Below are 22,457 nucleotides of genomic sequence, written 5' to 3'. Positions count from 1 at the left end.
TTTGGGAGGCCAAGGAGGGCATATCACTTGAGGTCAGGAGTTCAAGACCAGCCTGGCTAACATGGTGAAACCCCGTCTCTACTAAAAATACATAAATTAGCTGGGCATGGTGGTGCACGCCTATAATCTTAGTTACTCGGGAAGCTGAGGCAGGAGAATCGCTTGAACCTGGAGGTGGAGGTTGCAGTGAGCCAAGATCATGCCACTGCACTCCAGCCTGGGCGACAGAGCGAGATTCTGTCGCCTAAAAAAAAAAGAAAAGAAAAAGAGAGAAGAGATTCTGTGAGAAGAAAGCATGTCCAGGGAGGCAGGAGGTGGAGTGCAGATGTCGTCTCCAGTGCTGTGGAGGAGCCCGGCAGTCCTGGCCCTCGATCTTGGTCCTGACACAGACCAGCTGCATAGCCTTGGGCTGGATACTTAACCCCTCAGTTAACAAACCTGACATTTAGAGCCCCTCCAAGCCCTTGCTAGCTTCACATTTCCCAAATGGGTGGTAAATACCAATCTCACAGAGTTGATTTAAGAGCAGAATATGAGGCCCATGATGGTTCTTGGTCCTGGTGGTCTCCCCTCCGCTTCGGGTCACAACACTGCTCCCGGCTACTCAGCCCCAGGTGGTTTTCTCCCGGTCCGGTTCCTCTTGCAGGCCATTTTCCTTTCTCCTTGGGCAGGGTGGTGTGTTGGTTGATTGGTTAGTTTCTTTTTTTCTTTTTTGTTGAGATGAAATTCACATAATATAAAATTAACCATTTTAGGCTGGGTGCGGTGGCTCATGCCTGTAATCCCAGCACTTTGGGAGGCCGAGTTGGGTGGATCATTTGAGGTCAGGAATTCGAGACCAACCCGGCCAACGTGGTGAAACCCCGTCTCTACTAAAATAATACAAAATTAGCCGGGCGTGGTGGCATGCTTGTAATCCCAGCTGCTTGGGAGGCTGAGGCAGGAGAATTGGTTGAACCCAGAGTGGAGGTTGCAGTGAGCTGGGATCACGCCACTGCACTCCAGCCTGGGCGACAGAGCAAGACTGTCTCAAAAATAAAATAAAGTAAAATAAAATAAACCATTTTAAAGTGAACAATTCAGTGGCATTTAATAAATTCACAATGTTGTGCAACCAACCCCCCATCCAGTTCCAAAACCTTTTCTGTTTTGTTTTTGTTCTTGAGAAAGGGTCTTGCTCTGTTGCCCAGGTTGGAATGCAGTGGTGGGATCATGGCTCACTGCAGCCTCGACCTCCTGGGCTCAAGGGATCTTCCCACCTCAGCCTCCCAAGTAACTGGGACTATAGGCATATGCCACTACAACAGGCTAATTTTTAAATTTTTTGTAGAGACAAGATCTCACTAAGTTGCCCAGGGTGGTCTTGAACTCCTGGACGCAAGTGATCCTCCTGCCTTGGCCTCCCTAAATGCTGGGATTACAGGCATGAGCCACCGTGCCTGGCCCCAAAACATTTTCATTACCCAAAAGAAAACCCTTTACCCATTAAGCAGTTGCTCCCTGTTCACTCCTCCACCCCAACCCCTGGCAACCACCAATCTGTGTTTTATTTCTATGAAGTTACACATTCTGGATATATCATATAAATGGAATCATATAATATGTGATGTTTTATGTCTGGTTTCTTTCACTTAGCATAATATTTTCAAGGTTTATCCATTTTATGGCTGTATAATATTTAATCGTATGAATGTACCATAATTCGTTTATCCGTTTATTTATTGATAGACATTTAGGCTGTTTCTACCTTTTGGCTGTTGTGAATAGTGCTGCTGTGAACATGTGTAAATGTACTTAAATTTCTTTCCCTTTCTTTCTTTCTTTCTCTTTCTTTCTTTTTCTTTCTCTCTTTCTTTCTTTCTTGCTTTTCTTTCCTTTCTTTCTTTTCTTTCTTTCTTTCTTTCCTTCTTTCTTTCTTTCTTTCTTTTCTTTCTCCCTCTCTCTCTCTTTCTTTCTTTCTCTCTCTCTCTCTCTCTTTCTTTCTTTTCTTTCTTTCTTTCTGACAGAGTCTTGCTCTGTCGCCCAGGCTGGAGTGTAGTGGCGCAATCTCAGCTCACTGCAACCTCCGCCTCCCGGGTTCAAACGATTCTCCTGCCTAAGCCTCCCAAGTAGCTGGGACTACAGGCGCGTGCCACCATGCCTGGCTAATTTTTGTATTTTTAGGAGAGACGGTGTTTCACCGTGTTATCCAGGATGGACTCGATCTCCTGACCTCGTGATCCACCCACCTCAGCCTCCCAAAGTGCTGGGATTACAGGTTTGAGCCACTGTGCCCAGCCTCTTTTTTTTTTTTTTTTTGAGACAGAGTCTCGCTCTGTCGCCCAGGCTGGAGTGCAATGGCATGATCTTGGCTCACTGCAACCTCTGTCTCCTGGGTTCAAGCAATTCTTGTGCCTCAGCCTCCCGAGTAGCTGGGATTACAGGTGTGTGCCACCACGCCCAGCTAATTTTTGTATTTTTAGTAGGGATGGGATTTTGCCATGTTGACCAGGCCGGTCTTGAACTCTTGGCCTCAAGTGATCCACCTGTCTTGGCCTCCCAAAGTGCTGGGATTACAGGCGTGCACCACCGCATCTGGCATGAGTATCTGTTTTTTTCTCTCTTTTGAGATGGAGTCTTGCTCTGTTGCCTAGACTGGAGTGCAGTGGCACAATCTCGGCTCACTGCAACCTCCACCTACCAGGTTCAAGCCATTCTCCTGCCTCAGCCTCCCGAGTAGCTGGCACTACAGGCGCGTGCCACCACACTCAGCTAATTTTTCATACTTTTAGTAAAGACAGGGTTTCACCATGTTAGCCAGGCTGGTCTCGATCTCCTGACCTCGTGATCTGCCCACCTCGACCTCCCAAAGTGCTGGGATTACAGGCGTGAGCCACTGCACCCGGCGAGTATCTGTTTTGAATTCCTTGGGATCTATACCTAGAAGTGGAATTGCTGGGTCATATGGTAACTCTGTGTTTAACTTTTTGAGGAACTGCCAGACTGTTTTCCACAGCAACTGAACTATTTTACATTCCCACCAGCAATGTATGAGGGTTCCGATTTCTCTACATCCTCGCCAACACTTGTTATTTTCCCTTTTTTAAAAAATTATAGGGCTGGGTGCTGTGGCTCATGCCTGTAATCCCAGCACTTTGGGAGGCCTGGGTGGGCGGATCATCTGAGGTCAGGAGTTTGAGACCACCCTGGCCAACATGATGAAACCCCGTCTCTACTAAAAAAATACAAAAATTAGCTGGGCATGGTGGCTTGTGCCTGTAATCCTAGTTACTCAGGAGGCTGAGGCAGGAGAATCGCTTGAACCCAGGAGGTGGAGGTTGCAGTGAGCCGAGATCGCGCCACTGCATTCCAGCCTGGGCAACAAGAGTGAAACTCTGTCTCAAAAAAATATATATATACACACACACATATATATACATATATATACACACATATATATATACATATATATACATATATATACACACATATATATACATATATATACACATATATATATACATATATATATATATATACACATAGAGAGAGAGAGAGAGAGAGAGAGACAGAGAGAGAGAGAGAGAGAGAGCTGTCCTAGTGGGTATGAAGTGGTACTTCATTGTAGTTTTGATTTGCATTTCCCTAATGAATACTGATATTGAGCATCTTTTTTTTTTTTTTTTTTTTTTTGTGAGATGGAGTCTCACCCTGTCACCCAGGCTGGAGTGCAGTGGTGCGATCTCCACCTCCTCGGTTCACGCCATTCTCCTGCCTCAGCCTCCCGAGTAGCTGGGACTACAGGCGCCCGCCACCATCATGCCCGGCTAATTTTTTGTATTTTTAGTAGAGATGGGGTTTCACTGTGTTAGCCAGGATGGTCTCAATCTCTTGACCTCGTGATCCGCCCGCCTCGGCATCCCAAAGTGCTGGGATTACAGGCATGAGCCACTGCACCCGGCCTTATTGAGCATCTTTTCATGTCTTTTTGGGCTATTTTTATATCTTCTTTGGAGGAATATCTATTCAAGTCATTTGTCCGTTTCTTCCCCCTTGCCAATTTTTTAATTAGAATGTTTGTCTTTTTGTCTTGGGCGAGTTTCTTAGCCCCTCTACTGAGGAGCCCATTTCTTCATTGTCTAATGGGGATGCTATTGTCTGAAGTGTTATTGCAAAGGTGTTGTGCGGTAATGTCCATTCAGGGCCTAGCACACAGTGGGAGTGGGAAGCATAAGCTGACTTGGAATTCGGCTCTGGTCTAGGGGATCAACTATCCCGGGTTTCCCAGGATGGTCCCGGCTTTAGTTCTGAGAGTCTGGCATCCTGGAAATTCCTAAGTTCTATGTAAACTGGGGCAGTTGCTCACCCTCCTCAGGTCCCAGATGAGGTAGACCGTGCGTATCCTTGCTGGGCCTTAACTCTAAACCTGTTTCCTCATCTGTAAGGTGGGACTGATCATTTCTCATAGGGTTGTTCTAAAAATCAGATGCACTGATTGCTTGAGAAAGTTAACTAGAAAGATCCCTCCCAGATCTTACCTGAAAGTACAAAAATAGGATTGTAGTCACAAAAGAGGATTTCCTGGCCTTGAAGCTTCAGGTGTTATCTTTCATATTCTTAATACTCTTCAAGGTGTGGGAAGGGACCGGCAGCACTGGCAGTGCCTGGGAGCTCGTGGGAAATGTGGAATGTCGGAGTCCTCAGACCTGCAGAATCAGAATCCGATTCCCAGGTACAGTAGGTCCTCCAATGACATCGTTGTGGTCACCGTTGTTTTGTTGTAGTGTTGATGAGAAAAAAATAAATGGATTCCCAGCTGGGGGCACCACTGATGTGGAGTTTGCATGTTCTCTTCACGTCTCCGGGTACTCTGGTTTCCTCCCACATATCAAAGATGTGCACTTTAGGTTCACTAGAGTGTCTAAGTTGTCCCAGGATGAGTGAGCGTGAATATGTGTGAGTGCGCCCTGTGATAGAATGGGCTCTGAGTCAGTTCCCGCCTTGTTCCCTGAGCCGCTGGGATAGGTTCCAGCCACCAGAGACCCTGAACTGGAATAATTGTGTAAATAATTATTCTAACTTGTTTTTATGAGTCTTTTTTAAATGTATGTATTACATAACTCACATTTATGTCTGTTTAATATTAGAAGTGTTTTGGTCTTTATTTAGTAGTTTGACTTTATTTAGAAGCAACTGGAAATATGCCCTAGGAACTTAACTCTTGCTTATATCAATTACTTTATGGTAAAATTGGTTTCATTATACGTTGCTTTGCTTACAGTCAAAGTTTCCAAGAACCCATCAACAATGTTGAGTGAGGCCTTACTGTAATTCACATGCACACTCTTTTTTGTTTGTATGTTGGTTTTTTTTTGTTTGTTTGAGACGGAGTTTCACTCTTGTCACCCAGGCTGGAGTGCAGTGGTGCGATCTTGGCTCATTGCAACCTCCACCTCCTGGGTTCAAGCGATTCTCCTGCCTCAGCCTCCCAAGTAGCTAGGATTACAGGCATGCGCCACCACATCCGGCTAATTTTTATAGTTTTATTAGAGACAGGGTTTCACTATGTTGGCCAGGCTGGTCTCGAACTCCTGACCTCAGATGATCCGCCTGCCTCAGCCTCCCAAAGTGCTGGGATTACAGGTGTGAGCCACCGCGCCCGGCCCATGTGCACTCATGTTTGAGAAGCATTGCTTTATACCAAAGGCTACGAAGCAGAGGAAGTCATCCAAGATATGGAAAATGTATCAACAAGTTCATCACAGTAGTATTTATAAAAGCATCAAAATTGGAAGCTACCTAAATGCTCAATAAAAGAGAAATAGTGAAGAAAATTGTGAGTTTTCTCCTGAGTGGACTGTCATGCAGCTGTTACAAATGATGTTTGGAAATACCTTGTTTACCATCAAAAGCTGCTTTTGATATCATGAAATGTGACAGAAGCGGTCCATGAAACTGCATGATCAGCAGAACTGTGACTGTGAAATTAACATACATATAAAAAAACACTAGAAGAAAATAGGCCAGCATGGGACCAGATGAGGGATGGGGAAGGCCTGTTTTTGTTTTTGTCTGTCCTTGTCCTAATTCTCTGTGGCTATATGGTCTATATTTACCCTATCACAATCCCTCAAAAAGCCCACATTTGGGTCATTGCCAGGATAGGATGATTTTTCCATTTCCATGAACTGTTAGGGGTATTAAGAAATGCTTAATACCCCCAATGCCAGTCCATATCCTCTGTACAAGCCTAATCCAAAGCCCTGTTTCCAGGGCTTTCTTAGGTCAGCCTCACTCACTCTGACATCTCTCTACCCCAGACCCTCAGCGAGGCAGAGCTCTTTGTCCAGCCTGGATCTCCCCTTGCAGGGTTATACCAGGGGACATACTTCCTGCATTTCTGTGATGACAAATGTTCTGTGTGGGTTTATTTCAACCTGAGGTTTGGCTATGTCCAGAGGGCAGCTGGGGGTTATTGTATGGATACATGAGGTGAGAGAAAATAATAACAGGGGACATTAAAAGGAATTGCGCTTCAGGCCTGTAATCCCAGCACTCTGGGAGGCGGAGGGAGGGAGGATTGCTTGAGCCCAGGAGTTTGAGACCAGCCTGGCTGATAGGGTGAGACCCTGGCTCTATAAAAATTACAAAAAAAGTTAGCTGGGCGTAGTGGCCTGTGCCTGTAGTCCCAGTTACTCAAGAGGCTGAGGTGGGAGGATCACTTGAGCCCGGGAGGTGGAGGTTGCAGTAAGCTGAGGTGGCACCACTGCACTCCAGCCTGGGTAACAGAGTGAGACTGTCTCTAAATAAATAAATAAGCCCTTCCTGAGTGCCAGCCTCATTGTATGGCTTTATGTTTAATCCACACAACTACCTGATGAGGCAGGCATGTCTCTCTTTAGCTATCTGGAACAGAGAGGTGAAGTTGCCTATTCAGGATCACACAGCCAGTAAGTGGCAAAACCAGGACAAGAACCCAGGTCTTTGCCTTCAGAGCCTAAGCTCTTTCTCACAATTTAACTTAATTTAATTAAAAACTTTTTTGAGATAGGGTCTTGCTCTGTTGCCCAGGCTGGAACACAGTGGCGTGAACATAGTTCACTGCAGCCTTGACCTCCTGGGCTCCAGTGATCCTCCTACCTCAGCCTCCCTAGTAGCTGGGACTACAGATGTGCTCCACCACACCCAGCTAGTTTTGTCTTTCTTTGTAGAGATGGAGGCTCCCTATGTTGCCCAGGCTGGTCTTGAACTCCTGGCCTCAAGTGACCCTCCCTCCTTTGCCTCTCATAGTATTGGGATTACAGGCGTGAGCCACAGTGCCCAGGCAGTCTGAGCTCTTACCCACCGTCTCTTCAGGGACAAAAATGAGTGACGTGTTGATGCAGAAGGTACTTCTGGACCAGGACCTCTGAAACTGTGCTTTGCAAAAAATCCCCTTGGAAGTGCTTCCAAAGGCAGATGCCGATTCAGCAGGCTTGGGGTTGGGCCCAATAATCTGAATTTCTAACGGGCTCCCAGTGATGCTGATGTTGCGGCCCAGGGGTGCTCTTGGAAAAGCAGGATCTAGAATGCATTTCTGTTGGCCTTGTAAGGCTTCCTGGTATATGTGCCCTGCGATCGAAGGGCAGGGACTGGGATGTCCCCCTCCCCACAGTAATCCCATCCACGCCTCCTGGGTTGGACCCAGCTGCCTCAGCACCATCCTGACCAGCCTGGCCAGCCAAGCCTCTCTAGCAGCCCTGCAGGACGTCCTTGGTTGCTTGCCCCAGCATTTCCTCCTGCCAGTTGGCTGGCAGGTGATGGGCCGACTGTGACAGCTTAGCCAGAGTTCCTGTCCAGAAATGTCTTGAGCTCAGCCAAGGTAAATGCTGCCCCGCTGTCAGAAATGAAGTGCCTGTCGGGCCTCTGGGCATGACTAATTGAGGCGGAAGAAATACTGTAACTGCTGACGTTTCAGATGGAGCTGGGGGTTGCTTTGAGGAGGCAGCCTCCACAATCAAGCCCTTTCCTGGAAAGGCCCAAACAAATCAGGGTAATAGCTCCCACTTCTCAAATACCTCCTGTGGGCCAGGCACTGGGCTAAGAGCTTTGTGTTGATATGTTTTGTCTAATCCTTTCAAGAAACCCCTTTCAAGAACCTTGCAAGAGGCCAGGCGCGGTGGCTCATGCCTGTAATCCCAGCACTTTGGGAGGCCGAGGCGGGTGGATCACCTAAGGTCAGGAGTTCGAGACCAGCCTGGCCAACATGGTGAAACCCCGTCTCTACTAAAATTACAAAAATTAGCTGGTGTGGTGGCTCACATCTGTAATCCCAGCTACTTGGGAGGCTGAGGCAGTAGAATCACTTGAATCCAGGAGGTGGAGTTTGCAGTGAGCTGAGATGCGGCTATTGCACTCCAGCCTGGGCAACAGGAGTGAAACTCCGTCTCAAAAAAAGAGGAACCTTGCAAGAAAGGTCACTGATGAGGGAACTGACCCTCAGAGAAGAGAGGAATGCTGGACACCAACCATTACATAATGGAGCCCATTTTGGAACTTGGGTCTGTCTTACTCCACAGACAATATGTTTGATCCTAGAGCAATGGTTTTCGAATTGTGCTCCATGGAACCCCGAGGGTCTGAGGAGCGCTTCACGGGCTGCTGTGGGAGTGAGGGTGGCAGAAAAGGAAGTAGCACAGCAAGCTAGGCTCCAACCCTTCTCTGTCCTTCTCCCAATGTGGCTTTACTTTGATGTGATTTGTGTATTGAGCTTCTATGAAAGATTTGTTGGAAGAAATGATTTCAGGACCAAAAATGTTTGAAATCCATATCACACTGCCTCCCAAAACAAATGTGGATTATTGATCAGGGCTTCTTGCACACATTTCAAGGAAACATCATTCCATTTGGTGGACTTGCCAAGCGGCGTGGCTCGTGTAACCCTCACTGAGCTCCTTTGTAATGTCAAGTCATCCTGGTCAGAGCTTCTACAATGGGCTGTGAATTGTGTGAATTCCTTGGGAAGGTTCACTGCCAGGCAAGGTCTCCGCATCCTTTTTAAGAGGCACATCAATATGGATTATAGTGACCATACCCTGGGATAGACTGGCCTGGTGTTGGGGGCCTAGGTTCCTGCTATCTTGCGGCTCTGCCTTCTAAAACATGTGCTTTCCATTTTGTAGCTCAAGATGGCTATTTCAGCTCCCACCATCACATCTGCATCCCAGCCAGGCAGAGAGAGGGCACCCCAGTCTTTTTTTTTTTTTTTTTTTTTTTTTTGAGACAGAGTCTCGCTCTGTCACCCAGGCTGGAGTGCAGTGGTGCGATTTGGCTGAAGTGATTCTCCTGCCTCAGCCTCCTGAGTAGCTGGGATTACAGGTGTGCCTCACCACGCCTGGCTAATTTTTAAATATTTTTAGTAGAGACGGGGTTTCAACATGTTGGCCCGGCTGGTCTCAAACTCCTGACTTCAAGTGATCCGCCTACCTCGGCCTCCCAAAGTGCTGGGATTTCAGGCGTGAGTCACTGCACCCAGTCCCCCCCCCCTTTTTTTTTTTTTTTTTGACAGAGTCTTGAACTGTCAACCAGGCTAGAATGCAGTGGCGTGATCTCAGCTCACGACAACCTCCACCTCCTGGGTTCAAGTGATTCTCCTGTGTCAACCTCCCGAGCAGCTGGGATTACAGGCGCCCACCACCACACATAGATAATTTTTGTATTTTTAGTAGAGATGGGGTTTCGCCATGTTGGCCAGGCTGGTCTCGAACTCCTGGCCTCAAGTGATCTGCCGGCCTCAGCCTCCCAAAGGGGTGAGCCTCCGGACCCGGTCACCCATTCTTATTACGGGCAATCTTTCTGCTCATCTTCCATTGGCCAGACATAGTCATGTAGCCATACCTAGCCATAAGGAGGGCTGGGAAATATGGTTTAACTGTGTGACTGTGTGCCTAGCTATAACTGGGAGCCTCTGCAACTCAAGGAAGAAGGAGAGAGTGGTTATTGGGAGGCAGTTATTAGTCTTTGCCATGGGTGGGGTTCCTCCATCAAAACTGCCCATGTGGGTGGCAGCGTGATAAGGGGCCTATGGTGGCAGTTGGGAAGTATCCCCAAAGTTGGTGAATTTCAAGCCATGGGACTCTTTTTCCCAATGGCCAGCCAAGAAGCTAGCAGTGATTGACTTTAGAGAAGAAGAATCACAGTGGTGTTGGCAGAGAAATCAAACTAGGAGGTTTATTCTGAGCCTCTATGAGCGATTGCAGCCTGGAGAAAACACAAACCCAAGAAGCCTTGAGTAAGTGATCCTGAGACAGGTGACAACTCTGCTTTATACATTTTAGGGAAGCAGAAGTTACCGGCAAAGTCATAAATTAATATATGGAGTTTATATGTTGCTTTGGCCCAAAAAAGGTGAGCTATCTTGAAGTGAGAGCTCACAGGTCATAGGTGGGTTCAGAGATTCTTTAATTTGCAATTGGTTAAAGGAGTAAGGCTTTGTTCAAAAACCTGGAGTCAGTAGAGGCCAAGTGCAGTGGCTCATGCCTGTAATCCCAGCACTTTGGGAGGCCGAGGTGAGAGGATCGCTTGAGTCCAGGAGTTTGAGACCAGACTGGGCAACATGGTGAAACCTTGACTCTACAAAAAATTTAAAAATTAGCTGGGTGTTTGGCCAGGTGCAGTGGCTCATGCCTGTAATCCCAACCCTGTCTCTACTAAAAATACAAAATTATACAAAATTAGCTGCGCGTGATGGCGCATGCCTGTAATCCCAGATACTTGGGAGGCTGAGGCAGGACAATCACTTGAACCCGGGAGGTTGCAGGGAGCCGAGATTGTGCTATTGCACTCCACCCTGGGCAACAGGAGCAAAACTCTGTCTCAAAAAAAAAAAAAAAAAAAAAATTAGCTGGGTGTGGTGGCATATGCCTGTGATCCCAGCTACTCAAGAGGCTGAGGCGGAAGGATCACTTGAGCCCTGGAGGTCGAGGACTGAGGCTGCAGTGAGCCATGATCAGGCAAGAGAGTGAGACCCTGTCTCAAAAAAAAAAAAAAAACCTAAAATAAATAAAAATAGAAAACTTGGAGTCAGTGGAAAAGAATGTTTAAGATAAAGAAGTTTGCTAATCATCATGTGATCTGCCAATCATATCATGCCATGTATCGTATGATCTGCCAGAGTCACATCATCTCATGCCTTATCTGATATGTCATGTGATATGTCAGAGCAAGACTCAATATGCTGGGTCAGGCCAGGCGCAGTGGCTCACACCTGTAATCCCAGCACTTTGGGAGCCCGAGGAGGGTGGATCACCTGAGGTCGGTCTCTACTAAAAATACAAAATTTAGCCGGGCGTGGTGGCGGGTGCCTGTAATCCCAGCTACTTGGGAGGCTGAGGCAGGAGAGTCGCTTGAACCTGGGAGGCAGAGGTTGCCGTGAGCCGAGGTGGTGCCATTGCACTCCAGCCTGTGTTACATGAGCGAAACTCCATCTCAAAAAACAAAACAAAAAAGCGCTGGGTCAGAGTGGCCTGCAGGGGTGCGTGATTTAACCCGTGCCTGTCATGGCCTTAGGTCCTCTTTATAATTTGATATCATATTGCCACAGAGTCCATTCTGTCTGTCTTCTGATCTCTATTTTAATATTAATGCTGGTAGTTGTGTCTAAACTGCAAAAGGGAGGGGTTACAATGAGGTGTGTCTGGTCTCCCATCCCATTATGGCTGGGAACTCAGCTTTTCTGGGGTCTCATTGGCCAAGAGGGGGTCCATTCAGTTGGTTGGGGGACTTAGGATTTTATTTTTAGTTTACAGTGGCTGATGTGTTGCCAGGGAAAAGTTCTCCCAGAAATTTAGTTTCTCAGTTCTCTCTTCTCATTCATATTCTTTTTAAAAATGAAGTTAAAAAAAAATTTTTTTTGAGACAGGGTCTCACTCTGTCGCCCAGGCTGGGGTGCAGTGGTGCGATCTTGGCTCACTGCAGCTTCAACTTCCCAGGCTCAAACGATTCTCCTGCCTCAGACTCTGAATAGCTCGGACTATGGGAGCACGCCATCACCCCTGGCCAGTTTTGGTATTTTTTGTAGAGATGGTGGTTTCAACATGTTGCCCAGGCTGGTCTCGAACTCGTGAGCTCAAGTGATCCACCCACCTGGGTCTCCCAAAGTACCAGCATTACAGGCCTGAGCCTCCACGCCCGATCTAATTTAATTTTTTAATTGACAAATAATTGTACATATTCATGGGGTACATAGTAATGTTTCAATACATATAATGTATAGTGATCAGATCAGGGTAATTTGCACATTCATAATCTCAAACACGTACCCTTGCTTTGTGGTGGGCTCATTCACACTCTTGCTGTCTGTACCAGTGAAGGACTGCCTGGGCTCACCCTGGAGGTTTTTCCTCTGATCACCTCATAAGCAAGGCTATTCTATTTAAGGTCCTTTTGGTTCTGAGGAGCTATTTGAGCTGTCCCACAGAGAAGGATTATCGTGAGGGTGCAGAAGACGATCATGGGAGACCCAAGGGCTGGACATGAAGGACAGCCAGACCTCAAGGAAGCTGGAAAGCTGTTGGGAACCAGGTCCCCTCCCCCAGTTCTTGCCTCCTTTTCATTAATTCATCATATGTTTATTGAAGCCAAATGTATATAAGGTCTGCCTTTCCTTTCTGTGGATCAGAAGTCTTCTGCAGACAGCTCAGGATGGTTTCGGTTCCTTTTTTTCTTTTTTTCTCACAGACTCTGTTCATCTTGAATGGTTTCAGTTCCTAAGTCTCCAAGATCTTTCAACTCAGCTCTCTTGCTGCCAGCTTCTCAGTTTCCCAATTTCACCCTCCCGGGTGGTGATCTGATTGGCTCAGGCTGCACAAGCTGTAGATTGTAGGCTTCCAATAGATGAGCTGCTTTTGAATCATGTGATTACCTATGTCCAATCAGTCTGAGGAAGCACAGGGTCATGTAGGAGACTGTGATGGGTGTAGTCAACTCAGCAGGGCCTACGGGTCTGGGGGCAAACGTCATTGGGATGGGGATGGAGCATCCTAAAACATGTCTGGTACAAGGATATTATTTAAAATATAATGTCACACCTGAAATTTTAGTTAGCAGGGCTCCATACAACATTGATGTTTCAGGAGCATCAGAAATTGTAGACTAGGCGGACATGGTGGCTCATGCTTGTAATCCCAGCACTTTGGGAGACCAAGGTGGGTGGATCACCTGAGGTCAGGAGTTCAAGAACAGCCTGGCCAACATGGTAAAACCCCTGTCTCTATTAAAAATACAAAATTAGCTGGGTGTGGTGGTATGCACCTGTAATCCCAGAGACTCTGGAGGGTGAGGCAGGAGAATCGCTTGATCCCAGGAAGCAGAGGTTGCAGTAGCCCAGATCTCACCATTGCACTCCAGCCTGGGCGACAAGAACGAAACTCCATCTCAAAAAAGAAGAAAAGAAAAGAGAGAGAGACAGACAGACAGAGAGAGAAAGAAAGAAAGAGAAAGGAAGGAAGAGATTGAGAGGAAGGAAGGAAGAGATTGAGAGAGAGAGAGGAAGGAAGGAAGGAAGGAAGGAAGGGAGGGAGGGAGGGAGGGAGGGAAGGAATTCTAGACTAAAAGGACTGGCTCTAGAACGCCGCGGGTAGGTGGCAATAGCTTTCATTGCATCACTGATGCTCAGCCCTGAGGAACCTGGGTAAACTCTGGCCTCATAAAGAACTGGATGGAGACAATCAATACAGGCAATGGAGCAGCCCTGCCCCAGCTGAAGTCTCTTCTTTTTCATTCCACAAGGCCTGAGTGGTTGGCAGAACTGTTGCACCTCCCTGGGCATGTGGACAGATTGGAGGATGCTGGCCAATCAAACCCTTTACTCAGCTCTGCTTCCAGAAAGTAAAAGGCATGTCTCTTGGTTTTGTTTTGTGACAATGTCTTGCTCTGTTGCCCAGGCTGGAATGCAGTGGCATGATCATGGCTTACTGCAGCTTTGATCCCTTGGGATCAGGCAATCCTCCTGCCCCAGCCTCACAAGTAGCTGGGACTACAGGTGCATGCCACCATGCCCAGCTAATTTTTGCATTTTTTTTTTTGTAGACTTGGGGGGAGGGTCTCACTATGTTGCCCAAGCTGGTCTTGAACTCCTGGATTCAAGCGATGTTTCTGCCTCAGCCTCCCAAAGTGCTTCTTGTCTTTTGAGAGTACTGGTTCATTGGTTGGATTCAGATGGCAAGTGGACATTGCGGTTGACTTTTCAACATATATTTTACCTTACAGCCTTGTACAATAGGAATGGGATCTTGGGTTCCATGATAATCCTACCCCCCAGCTGGTGTTTGGTTTAGGTGGAAGCTGTTTAGCATCTAGGGCTTCCTAGTCCAGAGGTGGCAGGGGACCCAGGTTGACCCTGCCATCTTGAAGCACACGTGTTCATTCAGTGGTCGGGGAGAGGTGTGCTGTGCCTGTCTTGCTTCCATGAGCCAGGGCTAGTTGCCACTGTCTGCCATCCCGTCACTACAAGATGCCTAGCCTTACAATGAAGCCCACACTGAAAGTGGCAGAGAAGAAAGACTGAAAGAGCTTGGTCTTGGTCATTGAGCCACATTCCCCGTCAACCCTGATGTCAGGCCTTTGCTCACCCAGCTTCCATTCCCCATTCCTAGCGGAGCCATGATCCCCAGTTCCTGGGGGAAGTAGACTGGTTTAACCAATCTGGCACGCCCTGGCCCTTGTAATAATCGGGGGCCACATCAGACTGAAGGGAAGATCTTGTGTTCCACTCTTGGTGCGAGGTTTCTCCTTTTGAACCCGACAAGGAAGCATGCTGCCTCAGTGGCTATAGGCAGCCCTCTTTGGACCAGGAGGCAGTCACACTTAGGACAATGTCCTGATGACACGAGGATCATCCATGTTCCATGCCTGCTGCCAGGCTCTCAGACGCTTGGTCTAACACATGTCCTCCGTGTTGAAGCTGGGTTTCTCTTCCTTGCCCCCGAAGGTATCTGCCTTGTTGGCTTTACTTCCTCAGAGAAGAAATTGAGGAATCCAGAGACACCTTCCTGTGTCCAGGATGTCCCAGGTTTGGGAATGCTGTCTGTGGGCTTGGATTCCCAGAGGAGGCAGCTGGTTCCTCCACAAGTGGCTTTTGTGTCACCTGCCACTGGAGATGGGGGAGGATGCTGTCCTTGTCAGAGCCACACTGCACATTCTCAGCACAGTCTTGACACCATTGGCTGCAGAATCCTTGTGATTCAGCTCATTTGGCAAGCAGATGCTGAACACCCACCAGATGCCAGGTGCCAACCCCTGCGCTAGGGAGGTGCTGGGGGCGGAGATGAATGTGCCACCATCCCTGAGCTCCAGCCTCCAGACAGTGGTCCTTCTGATTGAGAGTTTAACCAATGACTGGTAGGTAGCCTAAGTCACCTTCCCGGAGAGCTGTTGCTTAAAGATCTCAGAGACAGTGGATAGAGGAAAGGTCACTGTCTTTGAGTGGAACTGACCTGGTTTCATACAGTTACATTATTTCTTTTTATTTTTTGTTTTTTTGAGACGGAGTCTCACTGTGTCACCCAGGCTGGAGTGCAGTGGCGCAATCTCGGCTCACAGCAACCTCCACTCCTGGATTCAAGCAATTGAATATACTGCCTCAGCCTCCCCAGTAGCTGGGATTACAGGCATGCGCCACCACACCCAGCTAATTTTTGTATTTTTAGTAGAGATGGGTTTCACCATGTTGGCCAGGCTGGTCTTGAACTCCGGACATCAGGTGATCCGCCCTGTCTCAGCCTCCCAAAGTGCTGGGATTACAGGCATGAGCCACCATGCCTGGCCTAGTTACATGATTTCTAGTCTCAGTTTCCCCACTGAGAAAATGGGACTAATATTAGTGCTCACCTCCTAGGGTTGCCCTGCAGTAACAAATATGAAATGCCCAGCACTCTCCCATCACCACTCAGCAAATGCCAGCTTCCCTTCTCCTTCCTCCCACGCTCCCAAATGCTCCCCTGCAGGCTTTGTGCTTGGCTCTGCCCAGGAGTGATCCCCCTGCAAGTCGCCCCCTCCCTCCAGGGTGCAATTTGGCCTCACCCATCACTGTGTGGCCACCCTCAGCCAGAGCTGAGTAGATATGGCTCCTGGCTTCACTGTCCTGGAGTAATAAAAGTCAGGTGTGCCAGGAGGGCAGTCTGTTGGGCCTGTTTGGGACCTGCAGCAGATTCTGCATGGCATTGCCCTTGAGCCAGTCCTCCCCCTGGCAGGCCAGCTGTACTTGGCACTTCTGAGGCCTGAAGCAGAGCTTGGCCTCACCCTCGCTGGCCTGAGTAGGGCATCGTTAGGCTTCGAGGCTCTTGCCTTCCCTGGGATCTGCTGACTCATTGGAGAGAATCAGCTTAGGAGTTAGAGGCAGCAGCTCGTTTCATTTCTGACTTTCCTTGAGTCAGAATAGATGGAAGTTTTCTGTCAGTTAAGAGGTGCCATTGCAGGGGTCATCGGGAACTCCAAGAATGAGTCCAGGGATCATCCAGGTGTCAGAGCTGAGGCACGTGACACAGGGCCTGGTTTCTCTGCAGAACAGCACTAGTTTGGATCAGACTGCTTGTCTTTGCTGTGAAGCAGAGAACTCCGAGCAACGGGCCAGGAAGATGCATTCCCAGGAAGCTCACGCTTTGCAGTCTTAGCTGAGGCGGCAAGAGACACGTCAGCATCTGTTTGGGCTTCACAACTGCAGAGCGTGGCTTCTGTCCCGGGCACTCATTTCAGACGCCCGGAGGTTTGGGGAAAGCTCTCGCTGTGCGGGGCCCAGGAAGCAGGCTGATTGAAACCAGACCTTTCTCCGAGCCTCAAAGCAACCGTCTTAAACACTGGCCCGCTCAGGTTCCCAGGTGGAAGCTGTATTCAGTTGACTCTGAGACTTACCTGAGAGCACCTGTTTAGCATCTGCAGCTGTCCTGCTTTGTTTGGTAAAATGATCCTATCCTGGACTTCAGAATATGTAGTGGTACCTGTAAAACAGGCAGCTATAATTTGTGGTCATTCTTTGCTCAACAAATCCTCCATTGAACACATACTCTGTGCTTAAACACGATAAATAAAGGCTGACCTTACTCTTGGGGTCTTACGATCTTACAGGAAAGGCAGACATGAAGATGTGTATAAAATCCAAGTAAATTGTCACAAGTGTGCAAAACACCAGGAGAAAGAAGCACAGGGTGTGATGGGAATGCAACAGGGAATCAGAGAGGCTTTCTTGAGGAAGTGACTCCTGAGCTGAGGCTGGATAGGTGAGGAAGGGTCAGCTCCTGAACAGGGAAGGGAAGAAATTTTGAGGCACAGGCGGCACCAAGGTCCTGAGGCAGACAACTGTGTGGTGATTCCCAGAACAAGAGAGCAGGGGAGAGGAGGAGGTGCTGAGTTGGGGCCAGACCACCACACGTGGGGAAGGATTTGTGTTTCCGTTTAACAGAGAGCTAAACCCAGGGACTTAAGAAGCAGCCCTCTAGCATGTCATCAGGGACCAAGTCTCCATCTAGTTGTCCACTTCACCATCCTTAGGGTGTGGCTCTTGTCCTTATACTCACAAGATGGCTGTTGGAACTCCAGCCATCATGTCTGCATTCCAGGCAGGAAGAAGAAGGGCAAAGATAAGAGGGACAAGCAGTCAAATTTGATCTCTTTCAGAAGGTTCCACTAGAACCTTCAGCTGATGTCATGAGCCAGCCTGTGTCACATGGTAATCCTTAAGACATCCAGGGAATGAGGTTTATTAGATGGCTACATCATTGCTGGTTGCTACAGAATCAATCTTTTTTTTTTTTTGAGACAGAGTCTCACTGTGTCACTCAGGCTGAGTGCAGTGGCTCAATCACAGCTCCCTGCAGCCTCGACCTCCTGGGCTTAAGGGATCCTCCTGCCTCAGCCTCCTGAGTTGCTGGGACTACAGGCATGCACCACCATACCCAGTGAATTGTTTTATTTTATTGTATTTTTTGTAGAGACAGGGTCTCACTATGTTGCCCAGGCTGGTCTTGAACTCCTGGCCTCAAGTGATCCTCCAGCCTCGTCCTCTCAAAGTGCTAGGATTACAGGCATGAACCACTGTGCTCAATCCAAAATCAATTTTCTATTAGTAAAGAAGAGAAGGGAATGGCGGAAGGGGCGTAACCTTTGTTCTGAGTGCAACTGGGGAGCCACAGAATGGCCTAAGCAAGGGGATGATGTGGAACAGGGAAAACAATTTCAGGTTGTCCCAACTGGGCCACAGTAACACACACCTGTGGCACAGATATTCATTTCCTAGGGCTGCCAGAACAAATTACCACAATTTTGGTAGCTGAAAACAACAGAAATTTATTCACTTGCAGTTCTGGAGGCCAGAAGTCTGAAATTAAGGTGTCAGCAGGGCCACGCTCCCTCTCAAGGCCCTGGGAAAGGAGCCTTCCTTGTCTTGTCCTAGCTTCTGGATCTCCTGGAAATCCTTGGTGTCCTTGGTTTGTAAACAGCGTCACTCTAATCTCTGCCTTCATTGTGACAGGGATCCTCCCTGTGTCTCCTCTGCGACTCTGTATCCACATCTCCCTCTTCGTTTACATAAAGACACCGGTCATTGGATTTAGGGCCCACCCTAATCCGGTCTGCCTTCATCTTGACTTGTTTCATCTGCAAAGACTATTTCCAAATAAAGTCACATTCATAGGTACCAGAGGTTCACACTTGAACATATCGTTTTGGGTAACACAGTTGAAACTCACTACAGCATGCAAAAGGATGGAAAGGCTATCTGGTGCTGGCTGGGCTAAGGTGGGCCACTCGTTTTCCCCTCACCCACAGATCATAAGATAGCCCAGGATTTAGGGAGGCAGGTTTATTTCCCTAATTTTAACACATTGCAAAGCACCAGTCCCCCTACCCCCACCTCCAGCAAACACTTCCTAAGCATGGAGGAAGTGAGGGACCTTGAGCCATAGGCACAGAGGTGACCTTGCCCATCCCTGCGTGTCAGGGGCTCGTAGTTCAGGGGCAAACAAACATTTAAATGATGGGCTGGGCTGGGCATGGTGGCGCACACCTGTAATCCCAGTTACTTGGGAGGCTGAGGCATAATAATTGCCTGAACCCAGGAGGTAGAGATTGCAGTGAGCTGAGATCGCACCACTGCACTCCAGCCTGGGCGACAGAGCAAGACTCCGTCTCAAAAAAAAAAAAAAAAAAGAAAGAAAAAAAAAGATGGGCTGAATAGCATCTAAACTTGGTTTCCTTTCTTCAGGCAAAATTTTAGGCTAACTGATGTCTCTTAATAAGCCACTTTTTTGTTTGAACTGGGGGGAAGAGGGCAGGCTGTAGCTACGGCCGTGGCAGGTGGTCCCAGGTGAACCATAACCAGCTTCAGAGTTGGAGTCCTACAGACTATCAGATGTACAGTGTTGGGCAGGGCCCCCTATATTTTTTTTGCTTGGAAGTGGAATAAAAACTGCTCACCTGTGAATCCAGGAAGCAGGCTGGGAGGCGGCCATCGGACTCTTCCTTTGTGCAGATCTCTCTGCACAGAGTGCCACGCACGGAGCTTTGTTTCTTGATGGGTGATTTTTTTAAAAATTGAGATAGGGGTCTCCAGCAGAGATGGGTGGAAATAGGAGAGACAGACACCAAGGAAAAACATGAAGCATTAGTTCTCCTGGAGGATGGGGAAAGGGGCAGAAACAGAGGGAGCTGCTTTCCCGAGGGAGGCTAAGAGCTCTGGGCAGAAGCAGTGGCTTCAGTGCCTGTGGGCAGAGCTGGAGAGCAGTGCGTCCCCCTCTGGGTACCCTCCCGAGACTCCAGGGCTGGTGGCTGTGGCAGCAATGGGAAGCAGCATCCTTAGCCCTCACCCCAGGGGCCGTGGCATCAGGGCAGCCCCCCTACCAGGTGGCTTTGTGAGTAAAACCAAGAATCCAACAAGAGTGGCCCCATGTAACTCTTGCAAATAGTACACATGAGTCACCCCTTGAGGACTCCCTGAAATAAGGGATGGTGGAGGCCACTTGCAGGGGGTGGAGGTCCTCATTGGGGAGGTAGGGGTGAAAGGCTGATAAGAAGGCAGGGTTTGGCTAGGCGCAGTGGCTCACACCTGTAATCCCAGCACCTTGGGAGGCCCAGGTGGGTGGATCACTTGAGGTCAGGAGTTTGAGACCAGCCTGGCCAACATGGTAAAACCCCGTCTCCACTAAAAATACAAAAATTTGCTGGGCGTGGAGGCGTGTGCCTGTAATCCCAGCTACTTGGGAGGCTAAGGCACGAGAATCGCTTGAACCCGGGAGACGGAGGTTGCAGTGAGCCGAGGCCATGCCATGGCACTCCAGCTTGGGCGACAGAACGAGACTCTGTCTCAACAATAAAAGAAGGCAGAGTTTAAGCCGAGTGTTGAATGACCAGGAATCTGTCAAGGGGAGAAGGCGAGGGTGGCCATTCCAGACAGGAGGACCAGCGTGGGCAGTGGCACGAGTGACCATTGGTGGCTTGAGGCTGTCAGGGGAGTCTGGTCTGGGGGGTGGGCACACAAGGATGCACAAGGTGGTGAGAGGAGAGAGAAGGAGCTAGAGAGAGGCTGGGGCTGGCTGATGGTGGGATCTTGCATGCCAGCCTAAGAGCTTTGGTTTTCGTCTCGAGGACAGTGTCTTCAGGGAGCCCTGGATAGCCTGTGAACAGAGCAAGGTGTTTTTGATTGGTTTGACTGCCGTGCTGAGGATGGGTGGAGGCATGGGCTGTCTGGAGGCAGGAAGGGAGGGCAGTGGCAGAGGGAATAGCCCCCGACACCAACCAACCATGCTTCTTCCGCTCATCGTCCCCCAGCCTGCCCCAACCCCAGGTCTCCAGATTGTGTCGCTTATCGTAAGAGCAGAGTGCCTTCTGGCAGGTGAGGAGTGCAGGAACCCCTTGTCCCTGCTCACGCTGCGCCCAGGGCAAGGGCCGGCTGGGCAGCTGGCAGCCTGGCAGGGAGAATGTCGTTTACTCTGCTGTGTCTGCCGCCACCACCGCTGGGCAGCCTGATTAATGACCCAGGGCTCCTCACAGGTCAGCGGCCCCACCTCTGTGGCGGTGGCTGCCAAGGGAACCTGCCTGCCCTGCCTCCATTCCTCCTGCGGCTGGTGCTCTTGGGTCGGCTCCAGGAAGGGCTTCCACATCGCCCCTCTCTGGCTCTTAAGTCTTTCTGCCAACCATTTCCCTGGCCTCCTTTGAACCCTGGCCCAAGTGCTCCTCTGCAGGAGAGCCTTTGCAGAATGAACCCCCAGCCCATAGCATTCTAACTTCTTTATTTCATCTCCATCAGGCACACAGCAAAGGCTCAAAGATATGCCTCGAAGGAATCCTTGCTGCTTCTCTCCCCTTCCCACCACCCTGGTGATGCTGTGTGGACTCTGGGTTCTGTATTAGCTCTGCTTGAGGGTCTGTGTCTGCTCCTCTGTTTATATAAGTCCCATTCCAGACTGGAAACTCCCCAGGACCAAGAGGCAGCCTCCTCCTTTAGACTGGTGCCTTCTAAGATCCAGATTTTTCTCCTTCTTTTGAGACAGAGTCTCGCTCTGTCGCCCAGGCTGGAGTGCAGTGGCGCGATCTCGGCTCCCGAGTTCAAGTGATTCTTGTGCCTCAGCCTCCCAAGTAGCTGGGATTACAGGCGTGTGCCACCAGGCCACACTAATTTTTGTATATTTAGTAAAGACGAGGTTTCGCTGTTTTGTCCAGGCTGGTCTCGAACTCCTGACCTCCCGTGATCCGCCCGCCTCGGCCTCCCAAAGTGCTGGGATTACAGGCGCGAGCCACCGCGTCCAGCCCAGATTTTCCTTTTCCATTAAATAGGGTACTCTTCCAGGGCAGGGACTATGACTCTCCCTCGGCCTGGGAGCTCCCTGAAAACAAGGGCCCGGTTTGAGGCCATCCTGTCTGTTCCTCCCTTATGCCCCATGCCAAGCTCAGCCTTGGTCCTGGTCTGAAGGGATGCAGGGGCTGCCGGCCTCCTGGCTTGTCTGGGAACAGGAGGGCTGAGCATGAGGGCAGCAGGCGTGGATTTGGCTGTGGCCAGGCCTGTTGGGGCACCACTAGGGGCCAGCTAGTGAGCTGTCTGGGGCCAAGGGGGAGTCCAGGGGGTCCTAGGCCTAAATCAGCCCTTGGGGCCACAGGTCCAGCACCCTGGGAGGGTGGTGACTTCCTGTACCCAGAAATCTGAGTGGGGAAGGGCGGAGAGTCAGTCCTGGCATGCTGACTACTCACACCTCCTGTGGGCTTTATCTTGGGTGCCGGCAGGAGGACAACCACAGCTATTATGTGTCCCGTCTCTATGGCCCCAGCGAGCCCCACAGCCGGGAACTGTGGGTAGATGTGGCCGAGGCCAACCGGAGCCAAGTGAAGATCCACACAATACTCTCCAACACCCACCGGCAGGCTTCGGTGAGTGCCCCAGTCGCCAGCCATGCTTCCCTGTGCTGGGAGGCCGGGGGCCAAACCACCCTGCCTGGTCAGTGGGCATGGCTGTGGCC

General features: G+C 49.4%; 1 protein-coding gene and 1 long non-coding RNA gene across 18 annotated transcripts in view, besides 1 other annotated feature; one reads left to right on the top strand and one right to left on the bottom strand.

The window, feature by feature from the left end:
- PLXDC1 (plexin domain containing 1) overlaps positions 1-22,457 on the top strand; it is an 89,655-nt gene that overhangs the window by 21,352 nt on the left and 45,846 nt on the right. For 15 of the 17 annotated variants that reach the window (XM_047436434.1, XM_047436432.1, XM_047436435.1 and 12 more), the window contains one exon: positions 22,225-22,368. In XM_047436434.1, the coding sequence (XP_047292390.1) occupies positions 22,225-22,368 (144 nt within the window). Of the gene's footprint in view, positions 1-4,611; positions 4,712-22,224; positions 22,369-22,457 lie in introns of all 17 variants that reach the window. The other 2 variants (XM_047436431.1, XM_047436433.1) reach the window with 1 other exon arrangement.
- Positions 12,381-12,430: an enhancer, noted in NCBI's record as "active region_12089". NCBI's record gives its function as "activates an Ori minimal core promoter by ATAC-STARR-seq in GM12878 lymphoblastoid cells {active_cell/tissue: GM12878}" and the evidence as "EXISTENCE:reporter gene assay evidence [ECO:0000049][PMID:35858748]".
- Positions 18,272-20,361, bottom strand: LOC124903995 (uncharacterized). Its single transcript, XR_007065744.1, has 2 exons — positions 19,426-20,361; positions 18,272-18,615 (listed from the first exon to the last, which is right to left on the bottom strand). It is a non-coding gene; the product is annotated as an uncharacterized LOC124903995 (long non-coding RNA).

This window comes from Homo sapiens, chromosome 17 (genome assembly GCF_000001405.40).
Source record: "Homo sapiens chromosome 17, GRCh38.p14 Primary Assembly".
NCBI classification, from domain to species: domain Eukaryota; kingdom Metazoa; phylum Chordata; class Mammalia; order Primates; family Hominidae; genus Homo; species Homo sapiens.
This window is presented reverse-complemented; position numbering and strand designations above follow the sequence as displayed.